The following is a 17,350-nucleotide window of genomic DNA, read 5'->3' on the forward strand; positions in this document are numbered from 1 at the left end:
AAGCGGTCACTAAAGATTATGTTATAAAGTTTATTCTAATACCTTCCATAATACTGATTTTTAAAATAAAACAATCTTGACTTTTCCCATACGCAAGTCTCAGATGTGTTTGAATTCATTTTTAAATATAGAAAATTAAGAATTTGGCCAGGCACAGTGGCTCATGCCTGTAATCCCAGCACTTTGGGAGGCCGAGGCCGGCGGATCACCTGAGGTCAGGAATTCAAGACCAGACTAGCCAACATGGTGAAACCCCGTTTCTATTAAAAATACAAAAAATTAGCTGGGCGTGGTGGTGGGTGCCTGTAATCCCAGCTACTCGGGAGGTTGAGGCAGGAGAATCCCTTGAACCCAGGAGGTGGAGGTTGCAGTGAGCCAAGGTAGCACCATTGCACTCCAGCCTGGGCAACAAGAGCGAAACTCTGTCTCACCAAAACAAACAAACAAACAAACAAAAATAAATAAGAGTTTGCCAATTTGCCAACAAATTCAAAGTTATACACTATATCGTTCGGTTCGAGAACGAAAATTATCTCAATTATGGAATGAAAATTTCAGGTGAGAGCATTGAAATGTAAGAAGTTACTCTCATGATGTGATGGGAACTCTTGCCTTTTGTTTCTTCTTGCACTAGTCATGTAAGATAGGCCTATGTTTCTAACTAATAAGAGCCAGGGGTTACCTGCAAATATTCCCCACAAGCTATGCATTGCAGAGGTGAATTGTCTTTTTCTCAATATATTTTTATTATGACTTTATCTTTGTTGTCTAGATTTGTATTTTTATTTATTTTTTTTTGACACAGAGTCTCACTCTATCACCCAGGCTGGAGTGGAGTGGCGCGATCTCAGGTCACTGCAACCACCGCCTCCCGGGTTCAAGCAATTCTCCTGCCTCAGCCTCCCAAGTAGCTGGGATTACAGGCGCATGCCACTGCGCCCAGCTAATTTTTGTATTTTTAGTAGAGACGGGGTTTCGCCTTGTTGGCCAGGCTGGTCTCCAACTCCTGACCTCAGGTGATCTACCCGCCTCAGGCTCCCAAAGTGCTAGGATTACTGGCATGAGCCACCACATCCAGCCATTGTCTGGATTTTTTTTTTCTTTGAGTATTTTGCGCATCTTAACATGTTACCTAAGATTTTTGATCACATTTGGGTCACGATGTTAAAAATTATCTTGAAGCTAATGGCAGAAATATCATTTTAAGCTCCTCATTAAGGTACAGGATTTCAACTCGAATGTGCCTTCCTGAAGTAAATCACGGCGATGATGTTGTGGTTCTTTGTCATTCGTGTTGCTCAGCAGTGAGAACACACAGGATACAGCAACACAACCAAGGCCAGGCACAGTGGGAGGCGGAGGTGGGTGGATCACTTGAGGTCAGGAGTTCGAGACCAGCTTGGCCAACATGGTGAAACCCTGTCTCTACTAAAAATACAAAAAATTAGCCAGGCGTGGTGGCGCACACCTGTAATCCCAGTTACTCAGGAGGCTGAGGTGGGAGAATCACTTGAACCCGGAAGGCAGAGGTTGCAGTGAGCTGAGATGGAGCCACTACACTCCAGTCTGGGCGACACAGCGAGACTCTGTCTCAACAACAACAAAAAATCAATATAACCCAAAGGCTCTTAGACTGTGCTGCTTCAGAGAGGCAAATATGCAAAGTGCTTTACTGATTTTAAAGGTTGGAATTATAACCGATGCCACACGCCCTCTCCCAGGATGAATACAGGACAGAAGCCACCACCTGGCCCCGCTGGGAAAGGCGGGAGGCTGAGTCCTATCTCCCCGTCCCAGTCTTGCTGAAAGTGGGAGGCTGGGGGAGTTTGAAAAGCTGCATCCCAAAGCCAGGCCATGTGGTTTTCCATTAACATTTGCCTGACCTAAAATCGCTTCAGTGCTTCCTACTAAGGACTGCCTTTCATCACTGAAGCAACACTCAGAGCTTGTGTTCCGAGAGTCACAGATGGCAGTGCTTTACCACAGGGGTGAGTACATCCATGCACTTGGGGTGAATGTCAGGAAGTCTCACGTGGCCCACTGAAGTCTGTGAAGGATTAGGACTTCATAATGTACTCGCTTCTGTACTTAACATATGTGACCTGAGCCACTCGTGCAGGCGGCCACAGTGACATGAAGGGCACGGACGAGTTTCAAGCCTGCACACCGGCAGTCGCAGGAGAAATGGGTGCCCAGAGTGGAGGGCAAGGGTGTATTTTGGAGGAAGAGTGGGTAGGACCACTGAGGTGGGAAACCTCAGGATGCCCCTTACTTCCCCTGCGGGTGAAGGGGAGCCGCAGAGAAGCGGGCTCAAGGTGGGAGGTGCGGAATGGGGTGGGGGACGCAGGATGGGGTCAGGGGTGTCCAGCTGCCTGGGTCCAGTGGTAGTGCTCATGGCTCCCTGAGCCCCCACGGCTGCAGACTGAGCGTTCGCACCCCGTCAAATTTGTGCTAAGACCTAATCCCCAAGGGATGGTGTTGGGAGGTGGGGCCTCTGGGAGGTGAGGAGGCTATGGCGGTGGTGCCCCCAGGGTGGGATGACTGCCCTTATGAAAGAACCCCGACAGCGGTCTTGTCCTGTCCACAATGTGAGAGGACACGAGGAGAAGGTCCCTTCTCTGAACCCGGGTGGCCCTCAGCAGACACCCAATTGGCTGGTGCTTGATCTTGGACTTCCAGCCTCCAGAGCTGCAGGGGTGAATTGGTAACTGCTGCTGTGTTTACAGGCTGCCCCGCCTATGGCTCCTCAGAGACGCCTGAACGGAGTAAGACATAACACGCCCACTAATACCATTAATGAGATCAAATTACGTTAGTCAGGACCTGCCTGGCCCTCAGCTAAAGAAACCTGGCCTCAATCCTTTGGCTGTGAGGGTCATTTCTTGTGGGATCCTGGAGTATCGCAAATACCTGAAGGCAGAAGGAGCAGAGGAGGCTTGAGTGGAGTGAAGATCTATCTTGGCTTCCAGGCAACGGGAATTGGGGTCCTGCCCATCCTCTCCCCCTGCCAGGTGCCACCCCCCCAACCCCGGCACAGTGTCCCCTGTCACCGAGGCTTCCTCCAGGACGCAGGGAATAGCCTCAGCCTGGGGCAGGCCCCACCAGGGCTGCATGGACGGGGCAAGGAGCTGCTCTAAGAGAGAAGAGGAGACAGAGGCTGACTCTCCCACATGTCACAGATGCCACCCCAGTGACATGTGTGAACCCCAAATATCTCAGACAGGTCTCGGCCAATTTAGAAAGTTTGTTTTGCCAAGGTCGAGGACATGCCCATGACACAGCCTCAGGAGGTCCCGACGACAAATGTCCAAAGTCTTCAGGGCACAGCTTGTTTTTTTTGTTTTCTTTTGGTTTTGTTTTGTTTTGAGACAGAGTCTCGCTCTGTCGCCCAGGCTGGAGTGCACTGGCGTGATCTCGGTTCACTGCAACCTCCGTCTCCCAGGTTCAAGCAATTCTCCTGCCTCAGCCTCCCGAGTAGCTGGGACTACAGGCACCCGCCACTACGCCCAGCTAATTTTTTGTATTTTTAGAGATGAGGTTTCACCGAGTTGGCCAAGCTGGTCTCGAACTCCTGACCTCAGGTGATCCACGCACCTCGGCCTCTCAAAGTGCTTGGTTTTATACATTTTAGGGAGGCACGAGACATCAATCAATATATGTAAGATGAATTTAGTTCAGTCTAGAAAGGCGGGACAACTCCAGGTGAAGGGGGGGACAACTCCAGGTGAAGGGGGGACAGCTCCAGGTGAAGGGGGGGCAGCTCCAGGTGAAGGGAGGGCAGCTCCAGGTGAAGGGGGGCAACTCCAGGTGAAGGGGGGACAACTCCAGGTGAAGGGGGGACAGCTCCAGGTGAAGGGGGGACAGCTCCAGGTGAAGGAGGGACAACTCCAGGTGAAGCGGGGGACAACTCCAGGTGAAAGAGGGACAACTCCAGGTGAAGGGGGGGGCAACTCCTGGTGAAGGGGGGGCAACTCCAGGTGAAGGTAGGGGGCAACTCCAGGTGAAGGTAGGGGACAACTCCAGGTGAAGGGGGGCAACTCCAGGTGAAGGGAGGGCAACTCCAGGTGAAGGGGGGGACAGCTCCAGGTGAAGTGGGGGACAGCTCCAGGTGAAGGAGGGACAACTCCAGGTGAAGGAGGGACAACTCCAGGTGAAGCGGGGGACAACTCCCGGTGAAGGAGAGACAACTCCAGGTGAAGGGGGGGCAACTCCAGGTGAAGGGGGGACAACTCCAGGTGAAGGGGGGACAGCTCCAGGTGAAGGGGGGGCAGCTCCAGGTGAAGGTGGGGGACAACTCCAGGTGAAGGGGGGGCAACTCCAGGTGAAGGGAGGGCAACTCCAGGTGAAGGGAGGGCAACTCCAGGTGAAGGGGGGCAACTCCAGGTGAAGGGGGGGACAGCTCCAGGTGAAGCGGGGGACAGCTCCAGGTGAAGGGGGGGCAACTCCAGGTGAAGGGGGGGGCAACTCCAGGTGAAGGGGGGCAACTCCAGGTGAAGGGAGGGCAACTCCAGGTGAAGGGGGGCAACTCCAGGTGAAGGGAGGGCAACTCCAGGTGAAGGGGGGACAGCTCCAGGTGAAGGGGGGCAACTCCAGGTGAAGGGGGGGCAACTCCAGGTGAAGGAGGGCAACTCCAGGTGAAGGTGGGGGACAACTCCAGGTGAAGGGAGGGCAACTCCAGGTGAAGGTAGGGGACAACTCCAGGTGAAGGGGGGGCAACTCCAGGTGAAGGTAGGGGACAACTCCAGGTGAAGGGGGGCAACTCCAGGTGAAGGGAGGGCAACTCCAGGTGAAGGGGGGCAACTCCAGGTGAAGGGAGGGCAACTCCAGGTGAAGGGGGGACAGCTCCAGGTGAAGGGGGGCAACTCCAGGTGAAGGGGGGGCAACTCCAGGTGAAGGAGGGCAACTCCAGGTGAAGGTGGGGGACAACTCCAGGTGAAGGGAGGGCAACTCCAGGTGAAGGGGGGCAACTCCAGGTGAAGGGGGGGACAGCTCCAGGTGAAGCGGGGGACAGCTCCAGGTGAAGGAAGGACAACTCCAGGTGAAGCGGGGGACAACTCCAGGTGAAAGAGGGACAACTCCAGGTGAAGGGGGGGCAACTCCAGGTGAAGGGGGGGGCAACTCCAGGTGAAGGAGGGCAACTCCAGGTGAAGGTAGGGGACAACTCCAGGTGAAGGGGGGCAACTCCAGGTGAAGGGGGGGGCAACTCCAGGTGAAGGAGGGCAACTCCAGGTGAAGGTGGGGGACAACTCCAGGTGAAGGGGGGCAACTCCAGGTGAAGGGAGGGCAACTCCAGGTGAAGGGGGGACAGCTCCAGGTGAAGGGGGGCAGCTCCAGGTAAAGGGGGGGACAACTCCAGGTGAAGGGGGGGCAGCTCCAGGTGAAGGGGGGGCAACTCCAAGAGGGGAGGGAGCTTCCAGGTCACAGGTAGATAAGAGACAAATGGCTGCACTGTCTTGAGTTTCTGATGATCTTTTCCAAGGGATGCAGTCAGATATGCATGTCTCGGTGAGCAGAGGGTGGCTTTGAATACAATGGGAGGCAGCTTTGCCTTGAGCAGTTCCCAGCTTGACTCTTCCCTTTAACTTAGTGATTTGGGGGTCCCAAGACTTACTTTCTTTTCATACAAGTCTTGGGGAGCAACCATTATCACATGACATTAATAAGAGCAGATGATGCATCATCCGTCAGTGTATTCTGAGGATGTAATGAGAGGATGCACACACGAGCTAGTTAGTAACCAACTAAAAATTAACTGAAGTTACAGAAAAAAAGACAACAGTACTAAGAGCTCAACCCTGATGTCGCCCGGCACTGCCCATCACGTGAGAGCCGTGAGAGCAGAGGGCACGTCTGCACACATCCCAGTGCCCTGGGCCTCCCCGGAGCCGTGAGAGCAGAGCATGTCTGCACACATCCCAGGGGCCCTGGGCCTCCCCTGAGGGAGAGGCAGACCGGCTCAGTTCACTCCCAAACCCACATGACCCACTGAAGACACTCCCTCCATGAAGGCTGGGGTTGGGAGGGGTGAATGTAGGAGGCAGCCATGTGCCACTCCCCATGAGCCCAGATGCAGGGTGCGGCTCCCCACGACCTGGGATGCAGGGTGCAGGGTGCAGCTCCCCATGACCTGGGACACAGGGTGCAGGATGCAGCTCCCCATGACCTGGGATGCAGGGTGCAGCTGCCCACGACCTGGGACACAGGGTGCAGGGTGCGGCTCCCCACGACCTGGGATGCAGGGTACAGAGTGCAGCTGCCCACGACCTGGGACGCAGAGTGCAGGATGCAGCTCCCCATGACCTGGAACGCAGGGTGCAGGGTGCGGCTCCCCACGACCTGGGACGCAGGGTGCAGGGTGCAGCTCCCTGTGACCTGGGACGCAGGGTGCAGAGTGCAGGGTGCAGCTCCCCGTGACCTGGGATGCAGGGTGCAGGGTGCAGCTCCCCACAACCTGGGATGCAGGTGCGGCTGCCCATGACCTGGGACACAGGATGCAGGGTGCAGCTCCCCACGACCTGGGATGCAGGTGCGGCTGCCTATGACCTGGGACGCAGGGTGCAGGGCACGGCTGCCCACGACCTGGGACGCGTGGAGTGTCACCAGCCCTTTTGGAGAGTTTCCCGCGTGGAGTGTGGGGCTACAAGGAGCAGTTCTCCGTCCATTACGGCCTCCCCCAGGCACTCCAGGCCCTGCCGCTCAGGCATCCATGTGGCTTGGACACCGTCAAGGCTACTGGCTTCTCTGATCCAGCTTCTTCAGGGTCTCCAGACCTCAGTCAGAGCGAGAACTTGGATCCGACTGGATGCCAGATTCAAGTTCTACCCTGCCCTCCGATTCCTGGGCTCTCAAACCCAGAGACCGTCCCAGCGTCTCTGACCTTCAGTGAGAGTTAGGAGCTCCCGGGTTATTCTATGAAATTGGGAGCTGGTCTGTCCAGCACCTAAAGATCTATCTGGGAGGGTGGGGCTTCCCTGTCCCACTGGCAGCCTGGTATTCACTGGGTCACAGTCCTGCCTCCATGTGATATCAAGTCCTCCAGGGAGCAAGTGCAGTAACAACTGTTTAAGTCACAAATCGGACACGGTCTCACTGCAAGCCACAGAATCTTACATCCTGCTGGCATTGCCAGAAGCCAGTCACCTGCCCCACTAATAATACAACCTGAGAGCACGCTGCAGTGTTCACCAATCAGCTCTAAGCATCACCTGCCCCACTAATAATACAATCTGAGAGCACGCTTCAGTGTTCACCAATCAGCTCTAAACATCACCTGCCCCACTAATAATACAATCTGAGAGCACGCTTCAGTGTTCACCAATCAGCTCTAAGCATCGCCTGCCCCACTAATAATACAATCTGAGAGCATGCTTCAGTGTTCACCAATCAGCTCTAAGCATCGCCTGCCCCACTAATAATACAACCTGAGAGCACGCTGCAGTGTTCACCAATCAGCTCTAAGCATCACCTGCCCCACTAATAATACAATCCGAGAGCACACTTCAGTGATCACCAATCAGCTCTAAGCATCGCCTGCCCCACTAATAATACAATCCGAGAGCACGCTTCACTGTTCACCAATCAGCTCTAAGCATCACCTGCCCCACTAATAATACAATCCGAGAGCACGCTTCACTGTTCACCAATCAGCTCTAAGCATCACCTGCCCCACTAATAATACAATCCGAGAGCACGCTTCACTGTTCACCAATCAGCTCTAAGCATCACCTGCCCCACTAATAATACAATCTGAGAGCATGCTTCAGTGTTCAGCGATCAGCTCTAAACATCACCTGCCCCACTAATTATACAATCTAAGAGCACGCTGCAGTGCTCACCAATCAGCTCTAAGCATCACCTGCCCCACTAATAATACAATCTGAGAGCACGCTTCAGTGTTCAGCGATCAGCTCTAAACATCACCTGCCCCACTAATTATACAATCTAAGAGCACGCTGCAGTGCTCACCAATCAGCTCTAAGCATCACCTGCCCCACTAATAATACAATCTGAGAGCACGCTTCAGTGTTCAGCGATCAGCTCTAAACATCACCTGCCCCACTAATAATACAAACTGAGAGCACGCTGCAGTGCTCACCAATCAGCTCTAAGCATCACCTGCCCCACTAATAATACAAACTGAGAGCATGCTGCATTGCTCATCAATCCCAGATGCCTCATCCACGCCTTCTGAACATCAAACTGTCAAATCGAAGTAATCAGAAAGAAATTATGATTTAATTGTGATATGTCTGACTTTTGTGTAAATAATCAACCCACACTTTTCACCCAAATTTTTGGAAGCACGAGGTTGCCAAAAGTCTTCCAAAAATGGAACAAAAGAAATCCCTGCGGAGGGGCTATCAGCTGTCAAAGACGCAATAACTACACAGAAGAGGACAAAAAAGGGGAAGACATTTCCCTGCACAAGGCAGGGAATGAACACACTCTGGGTTCTTCATTAAAACTTGGTGCAGAGGAGGGATTCGTACCAAGGTGCCGAAAGCGACGATCTGCAGATATCCTTCCCCTAGCAGCATGCCGGTGACTGTCTAAAGGGAAGAAGAATCACCATTTAAGAGGAGCCCATTTAGGATCTACGTTTTACCACACTTACGTCAGCACCCTAAGGGCTAAAGAGGAACTCTTAAGGCACTGGAAAGTTACACAAAGCGAGAGAACGGAAACCAAACGCAGGCAATCCTCAGCGGAGCTCTTCTCCAGCTGGAACAATGAGCTTTGTCCCGAGAACAAGGGGGGCACGCCCAGGCCTGGAAGCTGCAGGATGAATGGGACTTCTCAAGTTATCCTCCCACCTCCCCGCCAAGTAAACCCGGGAGCTGGTGTTTGTTTTGGAGCTGGCCTTGCTGGAGCTGAGATCGTGGGGCTGGGCTGGCTGTCGGCATGTGCCCTGGCGCAGGCCCAGGTCTCATCACGCACCCTCTGTCCCTGCCATTGTTCTGCAATTAGTTAAGAGGGGGAAACATGCTTCTTACAACCCAGCAGGACGCTTTAGCCGACAAAGCTCCTGGATTTAAAAGAGGTTCGCCCTTTCATGTTCCAGCAGCTCCTCTTTGGTCTGGGCCTGGAGTTTGCCCCTGAGGCCCCCTGTGGATGGACTGAAGGGCTTTGCTCAATCCCACCCAAACACCAAGAACCCAGTCAGCCTCCGCCCTTCGCAGGAAGCCTCTTCCTGACTAGAATGACAAAAGTCATAAGAAGCCCAAGTGATTCTCAATCCTCCTTTACAGAGGCAGAAACAGAGGCCGGGGAGGTTCCGCCCTGACCCACGATGGCAGAGGAAGGGGAGAGGGGTCCCTGATGCAGTCACGCACCCAGAACCCCCGACTCGCCCCGCAAGGAAGAAACAGTGAGAGCTCCCTGAGCTGCCCTCACCTCCAGGCCATGGTGTGACGGAACCTCCTCTCCCAGGCATCTGAGTTGCACGGGCACTGGGCACGCCCAGTTCATAGAAACGGGGACATCTTTTATGGTATCGATTTGGATCACCTCACTTCCTGTATGAGACACAAATCACCAAGAGCACGTGGAGTCTGGTGTGCCCGGCTGGGTTTGTTAAGAACCTCTCTACGTGTACAGGTTTTATCAAGTACAGTTTTTTTAAGGAGTCACTGATGATGCAGAATGCTGGCTCCAAAACACAGTCCTGCAGCGCCCTTGACCATGGTGTTGTCTGATTTCACAGACAGCACGGTGACAGGCATGATCTGCTGAGGCTGCCAGTTCACCGCGGGAGGGAGCTGGTGGCCGGTCTTCCCCACGGGAGCCAGGCTCCGTCTGGTCCCTGCGCCCTGGCTCTGATCCCACCCGTGGAACTGCAAAGAATATCCCAGCCCCTGTGCTCGCCGCTCACTCATTGGTACTAGCGACACATCTGCAGTTCATGGGCAATGCTGACCACAGGTGCGGGGACCACGAGCACTGCTGTTCGGTGAGGAGGAGGCCAGGCACCAGCAGGTGACCACGGCGCTCGCTGCAGTGAAAGGCTCAGGAGGAGGCCCGGGAGTAGCTATGGCTGCAGGGTCAGAGAGGGCCCCAGAGTGCGGGTGCTTGATCTGACGAGGGCAGGGTGTGTGGTGTTTGCTGAATGGACACTGTGCACGGCCCCACAGAAGACAGGGTGAGGAAAGGACCTCTAACGGAAGCCACAGCGGGGCTGGGGTGCAGCGGGGCTGGGGTGCAGCAGGGCTGGGGTGCAGCATGCCTAAGGGACAGCCGGAGCCAGCTTGGAGCTTCCCTTTCTTTATCTCAAACACTCTGAAGGTTCCAAAGTCAGGGCCATTGAACAAGATGCGCTCCTGACTGCGCTCCCACTCCGCACCTGCCCGGCCCCAGGAGGCCGGCAAGGCGGCTCCCATCGGTCCTCCCGCTGTCACCCCCACGCGGTGGTGTTATCAGGAGGGGAGGCTTTGGAGGCCACGCACTTTAGATGAGGTCCTGAGAACAAGCCCCATCATGAGATTCGTGTCCTTCTAGGAAGAGGAAGCAACCCAGAGAGCGTGTTTCTCTTTCTCCACCATGTGAGGACACAGAGAGATGCCATCATCTGCAGACCTGCAAGAGGCCCTCACCAGAACCCAACTCTGCTGGCATCTTTGATCTCAGACTTCCAGCCTCCACCACTGTGAGAAAATAAATCTGTGATTCAAGCTGCCCCATCCATGGTGTTTGTGGGGCTGCCCAGGCTGCCCAATGCAAACAGCACACACTGTCTCCAAGCCCTTCCCGCCACCCAGCCCACCAGAGGAGCACACGCAGCTGCGGAGAGGAGAACATCTGGGTTCCTCCAGTTTTGCACTATTATAAATAGCCCTGCAATGACAAGCTTTCGGTACATCCCATCTGTGATGCGTGTTAATATACTTATGAAACAGGTTCCTAGAAATGGCACTGCTGTGTCAAAGGAGACACACGCCGAAGAACAGCTGCCGTCTGCTGCTCACTTGGTAGGTGTGGGCCACGTCTATAAATACAGGTGTTGCCCAAGCCTGAAGGTCAGGAACTTGCTCAAGTCTGACCGTAGCACATGGATCTACAAACACCCAGACCCAGGCCGCTGGGGGCTCAGCGTTTCTGGGGGACAGCTGGAGACAGCAGCACACGGTGGTGGTATTAGGAGGTGTGAAGCCTTTGGAGGTGACACATGTTAGATGAGCACCCGTTCCACCAGCATCCACTTTCCACCAGCACCCACTCTCCACTAGCACCCACTCTCCACCAGGACCCACTCTACGAACACCCACTCCACCAGCACCCACTCTCCACCAGCACCCTCTCCACTAGCACCCTCTCCACCAGCACCCACTCTCCACCAGCACCCACTCTCCACCAGCACCCACTCTATGAACACCCACTCTCCACCAGCACCCGCTCTACCAGCACCCACTCTATGAACACCCACTCTCCACCAGCACCCACTCCACCAGCACCCTCTCCACCAGCACCCACTCCACCAGCACCCACTCCACCAGCACCCACTCTCCACCAGCACCCACTCCACCAGCACCCACTCCACCAGCACCCACTCTCCACCAGCACCCACTCCACCAGCACCCACTCCACCAGCACCCACTCTCCACCAGCACCTGCTCCACCAGCACCCACTCTCCACCAGCACCCACTCCACCAGCACCCACTCTATGAACACCCGCTCCACCAGTACCCACTCTCCACCAGCACCCGCTCCACCAGCACCCACTCCACCAGCACCCACTCTCCACCAGCACCCACTCCACCAGCATCCACTCTACCAGCACCCGCTCCACAAGCACCCACTCTCCACCAGCACCCACTCTCCACTAGCACCCACTCCACCAGCACCCACTCTCCACCAGCACCCACTCTCCACCAGCACCCGCTCCACCAGCACCCACTCTCCACCAGCACCCGCTCCACCAGCACCCGCTCCACCAGCACCCACTCTCCACCAGCACCCACTCCACCAGCATCCACTCTACCAGCACCCGCTCCACCAGCACCCACTCTCCACCAGCACCCACTCTCCACCAGCACCCGCTCCACCAGCACCCGCTCCACCAGCACCCACTCTCCACCAGCACCCGCTCCACCAGCATCCACTCTACCAGCACCCGCTCCACAAGCACCCACTCTCCACCAGCACCCACTCTCCACTAGCACCCACTCCACCAGCACCCACTCTCCACCAGCACCCGCTCCACCAGCACCCGCTCCACCAGCACCCACTCTCCACCAGCACCCACTCCACCAGCATCCACTCCACCAGCACCCACTCTCCACCAGCATCCACTCTCCACCAGCACCCACTCCACCAGCACCCACTCTCCACCAGCACCCACTCTCCACCAGCACCCGCTCCACCAGCACCCACTCCACCAGCACCCACTCTCCACCAGCACCTGCCGAACCACTAGGCTGAATAAAAGGAGGGCCACCTGCAGGATCCACTGGGGGAAGGCAAGTGCTGGTGGAGGCTCTCTGGTGGTGATGACGCCCCTAAACAGCCAGCTCCCACTGCATTTGGGAGCCACGAACCAAATCCTCACTCAGGTCTGTGGAGATCTCAGCTCCCTATAAATAGGGGCCTGGACTTGTAACTGCTCTCTCAGGAGGCAGGAGGCTGACCCAGGAGGTCCTCCTCATCCAAAGCTCTGCTTCACTCAACCAGCGGCTCCCATCTCAGCTTCCCAAGACAAGATGTCAGGTTAACACAACTCTCAAGTAATCATCCAGTAAATTATTTTAAAATTCTTGTCAATGAAAATGTTGAGGAATATATATTGATCAAGATCAACGAGGGTAAAAAAAAGCCATTTTTTCTCTCCAATTAATATAGACTCAGAAAAGAAGGAACTGAGATAATACTAAAAGCATAGGACAGAAAGCTATTTACAAAGAAGACTGGGAAGTAAATCAAAGTACTGACAAATTGAAAGGAAGAACTACATTATAATTTTTATTACGATTTTAGGTTTCTGAGTTTAATCAGCAAATGTAAAAATGCAGTCATAATATTTAAATATTAGGCTTCTCTGGGATTTAATGACAATATCATTTTCTTCTTAAGGTGATGTTTCACTTTTTTGTAATGCATCATGTCTTAAAATAATCATAACAGTAAACCTTGTTTTACTGGGTTCAACTTTTTATAATCAGCCTATAGAGAGACTGTGGAAGACAACTGTTTGGAGGGTCAAGTTGAAATGTCAGGAGCCTGGTTCATGTCAGATCACATAACCAACAAAATTCCAAACAGGCAGAAAGGGGAGAAGAGTGGAAATCTAAATTTGCTAAATTCCTCTTCTTCCCAGCAGCGAATCCCCAGGGACGGCCTGAAGTAGAGGAGGTCACACATGGCGGCCTTGTGGTGGAAAAGCGGCCAGCAGCAGAACTAAAATGAAAACGGTCGGATGAGACTTGGGCAGGGAAACCGTTATTCTTAGTTTTAGATTTCTTTTTTTTTGGAGACGGAGTTTTGCTCTTGTTGCCCAGGCTGGAGTGCAGTGGTGCAATCTCGGCTCCCTGCAACCTCCGCCTCCAAGGTTCAAGCAATTCTCCTGCCTCAGCCTCCCAAGTAGCTGGGATTACAGGCATCCGCCACCAGGCCTGGCTGATTTTTTGTATTTTTAGTAGAGATGAGGTTCACCATGGTGGCCAGGCTGGTCTCGAACTCCTGATCTCGGGTGATCCACCCGCCTTGGCCTCCCAAAGTGCTGGGACTACAGGCGTGAGCCACTGTGTCCGGCCGTTTTGGAGTATGTTGTATATTTTTTCTTAAAAAGAATACTCCTTTAATTAAAAGTAAATGAATGAGTCACACAGGTGGCCCCTGGTTCCTAGACCTGGTGATCTTGGGGCCCGAGTCCCCAAGCCGCTGCACAAGGCCCCTGCCACCCTCCCACCTCTCTCGCGTCACAAGCAGGGCCCTCAGGATTCAGACACGCTCCCCAGAGCCTTGCAGAGCGAGATCTAAAGCAACTCTAATTTTCTGCACCAACGATCAATTACCACAGAAGAAAGAAGGCTGAGCCTCTCCCTGCTACAGTTTTGTGCTGTGGTAACTCAGCCTGGCCTCCGGGCTTCCATCCCTGCGAAAAGAAGCAGGTGGATCTGACAGGAGGCACCCAGGAAATCTGCGGCTCAGAGGTCTTCCTGCCTCCAGTCCAAAGCAAAATCCCCACCTGGAAAACCCATTCCAGACTCCTGCGGGTGACTGCAGGCTGGGGAGGAGTAGAAGGGGCACCTGCCTCTGACAGGAGAGCCCTGGGGGCCGCCTCTCCCCACTGGCCGCTCCAGCACCAGAGGCTGTCTCCCTCATAGCCCAGGGTGGCCGCATAGGGGCTGTACCTCCAAATGGACCCCGGGTGGGCGGGAGCCTCGGTCCCCCCGAATGCTCGTGTGCTCCTGGTCCTTGCAGCCACTGCAGTGCCTCCGGAGCATGGGGGCACAGACTGAGGGGCGCACCTGAGGCCCCGGGCCCCTGAGAGGTAAGAGGTGGGCAGCCAGGCAACCCAATGCAGCCTGCTGCAGAGCACTGCATCTCCCCGTAAGTGTCCTGGGGTGTTCACTGACCCCATTTTTTTGGTATTGCTTAAAAAGAGACATGAGAAGAGAACTTAAGAGTGCCTCAGCAGGCAGGAAGGAGCTCCCAGAGCCAGGAAGGCACAGGCTCCCAGGCTCTCCTGTGCGGGCCAGGCACGTGGGTCTCAAGGGACAGTGAAGTTTCATGTCACCCTGAAACATGGCCCAGCCTGGGCAACCTACGATAATATTGGCACTGGCGGCTTTGGAAATGGCCTTCGGATAAACAGCTTCAAGAAAGCGCATCCGTCACCTTTGGTGACTTCCCCGCCACAACACCCATCCACATCCAGGATACTGTTTTTTTCAACTACCTCATTTATTGCTCTTACATCTGCACTTGATTACTATGGATTTACACGTCACACCCGCAGCACCCTTGCGTAGGTAGTTGAGGGGTCAACCCCAGCCCAGGTCAAGCCCTCCAAAACCCCAGGAGCCACTCTTGGGAAGGTTCCCCTGTCCCCCGATGGTCCGGCACCCTGGCCCACTCGCTCCCATGCCTTTGAGAGGAGATCAGGTCTTGCCTCTGCCAAGAAGATGGGGCTACTGTGGGAGCAGGGACCCTGCCAGTTACACTTCCTAGAACTTCCAACCCCTTCCTCATCACCACCAATCCTCGCCCAGCAATGACCGCGGGTCCACGCTCAGGGAAATGCCCCTCCCACAGCAGGCCCAGTGCGTGCATTCCCTGAAAGGCCAGGTGGGGACATCTTTGCTTGAGGTGCAGATCCTGGCCTTGCAGCTCCTGAATTCTGTCTCTGCAGCAGGAATGCGGCCACAGAAGAGGCGACCCGGTGGCTGTGGCCAAGCTCCGATAAGCTTTTATTTATGGTGCTGAAATTCCAATTTCATAAAATGTCCACAGCATGAAATATTTACTCTTCTTTTGATTTTTTTCAGACATTTAGAAATGCAAAGTGCATAGCTCTTGGGCCGGACAAACCAGGCCTGGGTCAGATGGGGCCCCTGGCCAAGGGCACAGGAAGTAGGGGGTCCCTCTCCAGGCTCTGGGAGCCTGGCCTGGCGCCCTGTCTTGCTCACCCTGTCCCAGATTAACCTATGTCTAGCATTTATCTTTTGGGAGCATCAGGTTTTAGGCGACATATGAACACGCCACCCATTAATACAAAGCCCCCTCCCCCCATCCCCGGCTTACAAATAAACAATACAAATCTGTTTGTTCATGCATATACAGTTTACTCTTTGGGAAAAATAATCCAAAACTTCTTCCATGGGTGTTAAAAAATAAAATCAGTATTTTTCCTGCCTTCCAGTCAGAAAAACTTGGCCAGTTTTGCGTTCCTGAAAACTTCTTCCAAGGCCATTTCATTCTGCCCCAGAAAGACCCTGCTCCGGGGTTAAGGGCAAGGACAGTGGGGTCATGAGAGGGGAAAGAGCCGACGGTCATCTGCTAAAGAACCAGGCACGTGAAACAACTGCAGGAACTCCACATTTCCCGCTAAGTATGTCCGGGAAAATACTGCAGGCCGTCATCTGTCTAATTAGAAACAGCCACAAAAACAGCGACGGAGCGGGAGCCAATTCCCAGCAGAATCATGCAAATGAAATCCCAGATGAAGAGAAGGGGGAACTCAACTCAGCTTCTGCTGAGAAACTGTAAACGCCTTCCTGTTATGAAAACAGGACACAGGTGCAAATAAGGGGCTGTATCTTCTAACTCAAGGAACACGCCACGGTGCCGGGCGGGTGTCGTCCCCAGCATCCCAGAAGCACCACAGCAAGTCAGCCACAGGTTGGCTGGCTCTCTGGTGGAGCCTGGTCTCCAGCCCTGGCTTGCAGCAGCCGAACAAGCTGCAGATGGAAACAGCCAGGGAAATGCAGAGTGGACCACTTTCCAGGCTCTGAGCACAGAGACCAGAGCGGCAGGTAACTCATGGAAAGGCCTCACCTCCCTGCCCAGCCCAACCTCTGCAGGATGAATATCTTCCATACTCAGGGTTAAGGTACTTGCCCGGGAAAACCAAAATGTGTGCGTATGACACAGACATAGTTTTTTCCAGCAAACAATACAGCCCTCACCCAGCTGCCCAATGTGTGCGTATGACACAGACATAGTTTTTTCCAGGCAAACAATATAGCCCTCACCCAGCTGCTCCAAGCAAGTGTTGGTCTTTTCTAATTTGACGGCAGGTGGTGGAGTGTTGGCCAAAGACAAGGCAACAGGCAGGCCTGGGGTAGAGTCCACCTGTGCCACCTGACTGGCTGTGGCTTCCTGGACAGATGCCTGGGCCTCTCTGAGCCTCAGTGTACGTATCTATAAAACCAGGGTGGTGGGCCGGGCACAGTGGCTGATGCCTGTAATCCCAGCACTTTGGCAGGCTGAGGAGGGTGGATCACCTGAGGTCAGGAGTTTGAAACCAGCCTGACCAATATGGTGAAACCCCATCTCTTATAAAAATACAAAAATTAGCTGGGCATGGTGGTACATACCTGTAATCCCAGCTACTTGGGAGGCTGAGGCAGAAGAATCACTTGAACCCGGGAGGTGGAGGTTGCGGTGAGCCGAGACCATGCCACTGCACTCCAGCCTGGGCAACAGAGTGAGACTCCATCTCAGGAAAAAAAAAAAAAAAAAAAAAAAAAAAAAACCAGGGTGGCAACATCGCCTGCCTCCCAGGACTGCGGCAAGGACTGGATATAAGAGGTGTACAGTGGGAAGCTGGTGGTTAAGGAGGACTAGCGTGGGAGGTGGCGGGCAGGCTGGGCACAGGGACACCCTCTACCTGGGGCAAGGGGTTGGCATGGAGGC

The 17,350-nt window shown here is 54.2% G+C and overlaps 1 protein-coding gene across 5 annotated transcripts in view, besides 8 other annotated features; it reads right to left on the reverse strand.

Annotated features, from left to right (window-relative positions):
• PXDN (peroxidasin) overlaps window positions 1–17,350 on the reverse strand; it is a 113,015-nt gene that overhangs the window by 67,395 nt on the left and 28,270 nt on the right. Inside the window, exon 1 of one of the 5 annotated variants that reach the window (XM_047445788.1) lies at window positions 8,490–8,547. The exons of the other annotated variants lie outside the window; for them this stretch is intronic. The gene's annotated coding sequence lies outside the window, so the exon portion shown is untranslated. Of the gene's footprint in view, window positions 1–8,489; window positions 8,548–17,350 lie in introns of those variants that run through there. 5 annotated transcript variants of the gene reach the window in all.
• Window positions 5,246–5,849: an enhancer, noted in NCBI's record as "H3K27ac-H3K4me1 hESC enhancer chr2:1708299-1708902 (GRCh37/hg19 assembly coordinates)". NCBI's record gives its function as "activates a minimal SCP1, AML or CMV promoter by ChIP-STARR-seq in naive H9 embryonic stem cells {active_cell/tissue: H9 hESC(naive)}" and the evidence as "EXISTENCE:reporter gene assay evidence [ECO:0000049][PMID:30033119]".
• Window positions 5,850–6,453: an enhancer, noted in NCBI's record as "H3K27ac-H3K4me1 hESC enhancer chr2:1708903-1709506 (GRCh37/hg19 assembly coordinates)". NCBI's record gives its function as "activates a minimal SCP1, AML or CMV promoter by ChIP-STARR-seq in naive H9 embryonic stem cells {active_cell/tissue: H9 hESC(naive)}" and the evidence as "EXISTENCE:reporter gene assay evidence [ECO:0000049][PMID:30033119]".
• Window positions 8,304–8,949: an enhancer, noted in NCBI's record as "NANOG-H3K27ac-H3K4me1 hESC enhancer chr2:1711357-1712002 (GRCh37/hg19 assembly coordinates)". NCBI's record gives its function as "activates a minimal SCP1, AML or CMV promoter by ChIP-STARR-seq in naive and primed H9 embryonic stem cells {active_cell/tissue: H9 hESC(naive and primed)}" and the evidence as "EXISTENCE:reporter gene assay evidence [ECO:0000049][PMID:30033119]".
• Window positions 8,950–9,594: an enhancer, noted in NCBI's record as "NANOG-H3K27ac-H3K4me1 hESC enhancer chr2:1712003-1712647 (GRCh37/hg19 assembly coordinates)". NCBI's record gives its function as "activates a minimal SCP1, AML or CMV promoter by ChIP-STARR-seq in primed H9 embryonic stem cells {active_cell/tissue: H9 hESC(primed)}" and the evidence as "EXISTENCE:reporter gene assay evidence [ECO:0000049][PMID:30033119]".
• Window positions 10,240–10,884: an enhancer, noted in NCBI's record as "H3K27ac-H3K4me1 hESC enhancer chr2:1713293-1713937 (GRCh37/hg19 assembly coordinates)". NCBI's record gives its function as "activates a minimal SCP1, AML or CMV promoter by ChIP-STARR-seq in naive H9 embryonic stem cells {active_cell/tissue: H9 hESC(naive)}" and the evidence as "EXISTENCE:reporter gene assay evidence [ECO:0000049][PMID:30033119]".
• Window positions 11,431–11,937: an enhancer, noted in NCBI's record as "H3K27ac-H3K4me1 hESC enhancer chr2:1714484-1714990 (GRCh37/hg19 assembly coordinates)". NCBI's record gives its function as "activates a minimal SCP1, AML or CMV promoter by ChIP-STARR-seq in primed H9 embryonic stem cells {active_cell/tissue: H9 hESC(primed)}" and the evidence as "EXISTENCE:reporter gene assay evidence [ECO:0000049][PMID:30033119]".
• Window positions 11,938–12,444: an enhancer, noted in NCBI's record as "H3K27ac-H3K4me1 hESC enhancer chr2:1714991-1715497 (GRCh37/hg19 assembly coordinates)". NCBI's record gives its function as "activates a minimal SCP1, AML or CMV promoter by ChIP-STARR-seq in primed H9 embryonic stem cells {active_cell/tissue: H9 hESC(primed)}" and the evidence as "EXISTENCE:reporter gene assay evidence [ECO:0000049][PMID:30033119]".
• Window positions 13,863–14,842: an enhancer, noted in NCBI's record as "H3K4me1 hESC enhancer chr2:1716916-1717895 (GRCh37/hg19 assembly coordinates)". NCBI's record gives its function as "activates a minimal SCP1, AML or CMV promoter by ChIP-STARR-seq in primed H9 embryonic stem cells {active_cell/tissue: H9 hESC(primed)}" and the evidence as "EXISTENCE:reporter gene assay evidence [ECO:0000049][PMID:30033119]".

The sequence above is a fragment of the Homo sapiens genome, chromosome 2 (assembly GCF_000001405.40).
Source record: "Homo sapiens chromosome 2, GRCh38.p14 Primary Assembly".
Classification (NCBI taxonomy): Eukaryota; Metazoa; Chordata; class Mammalia; order Primates; family Hominidae; genus Homo; species Homo sapiens.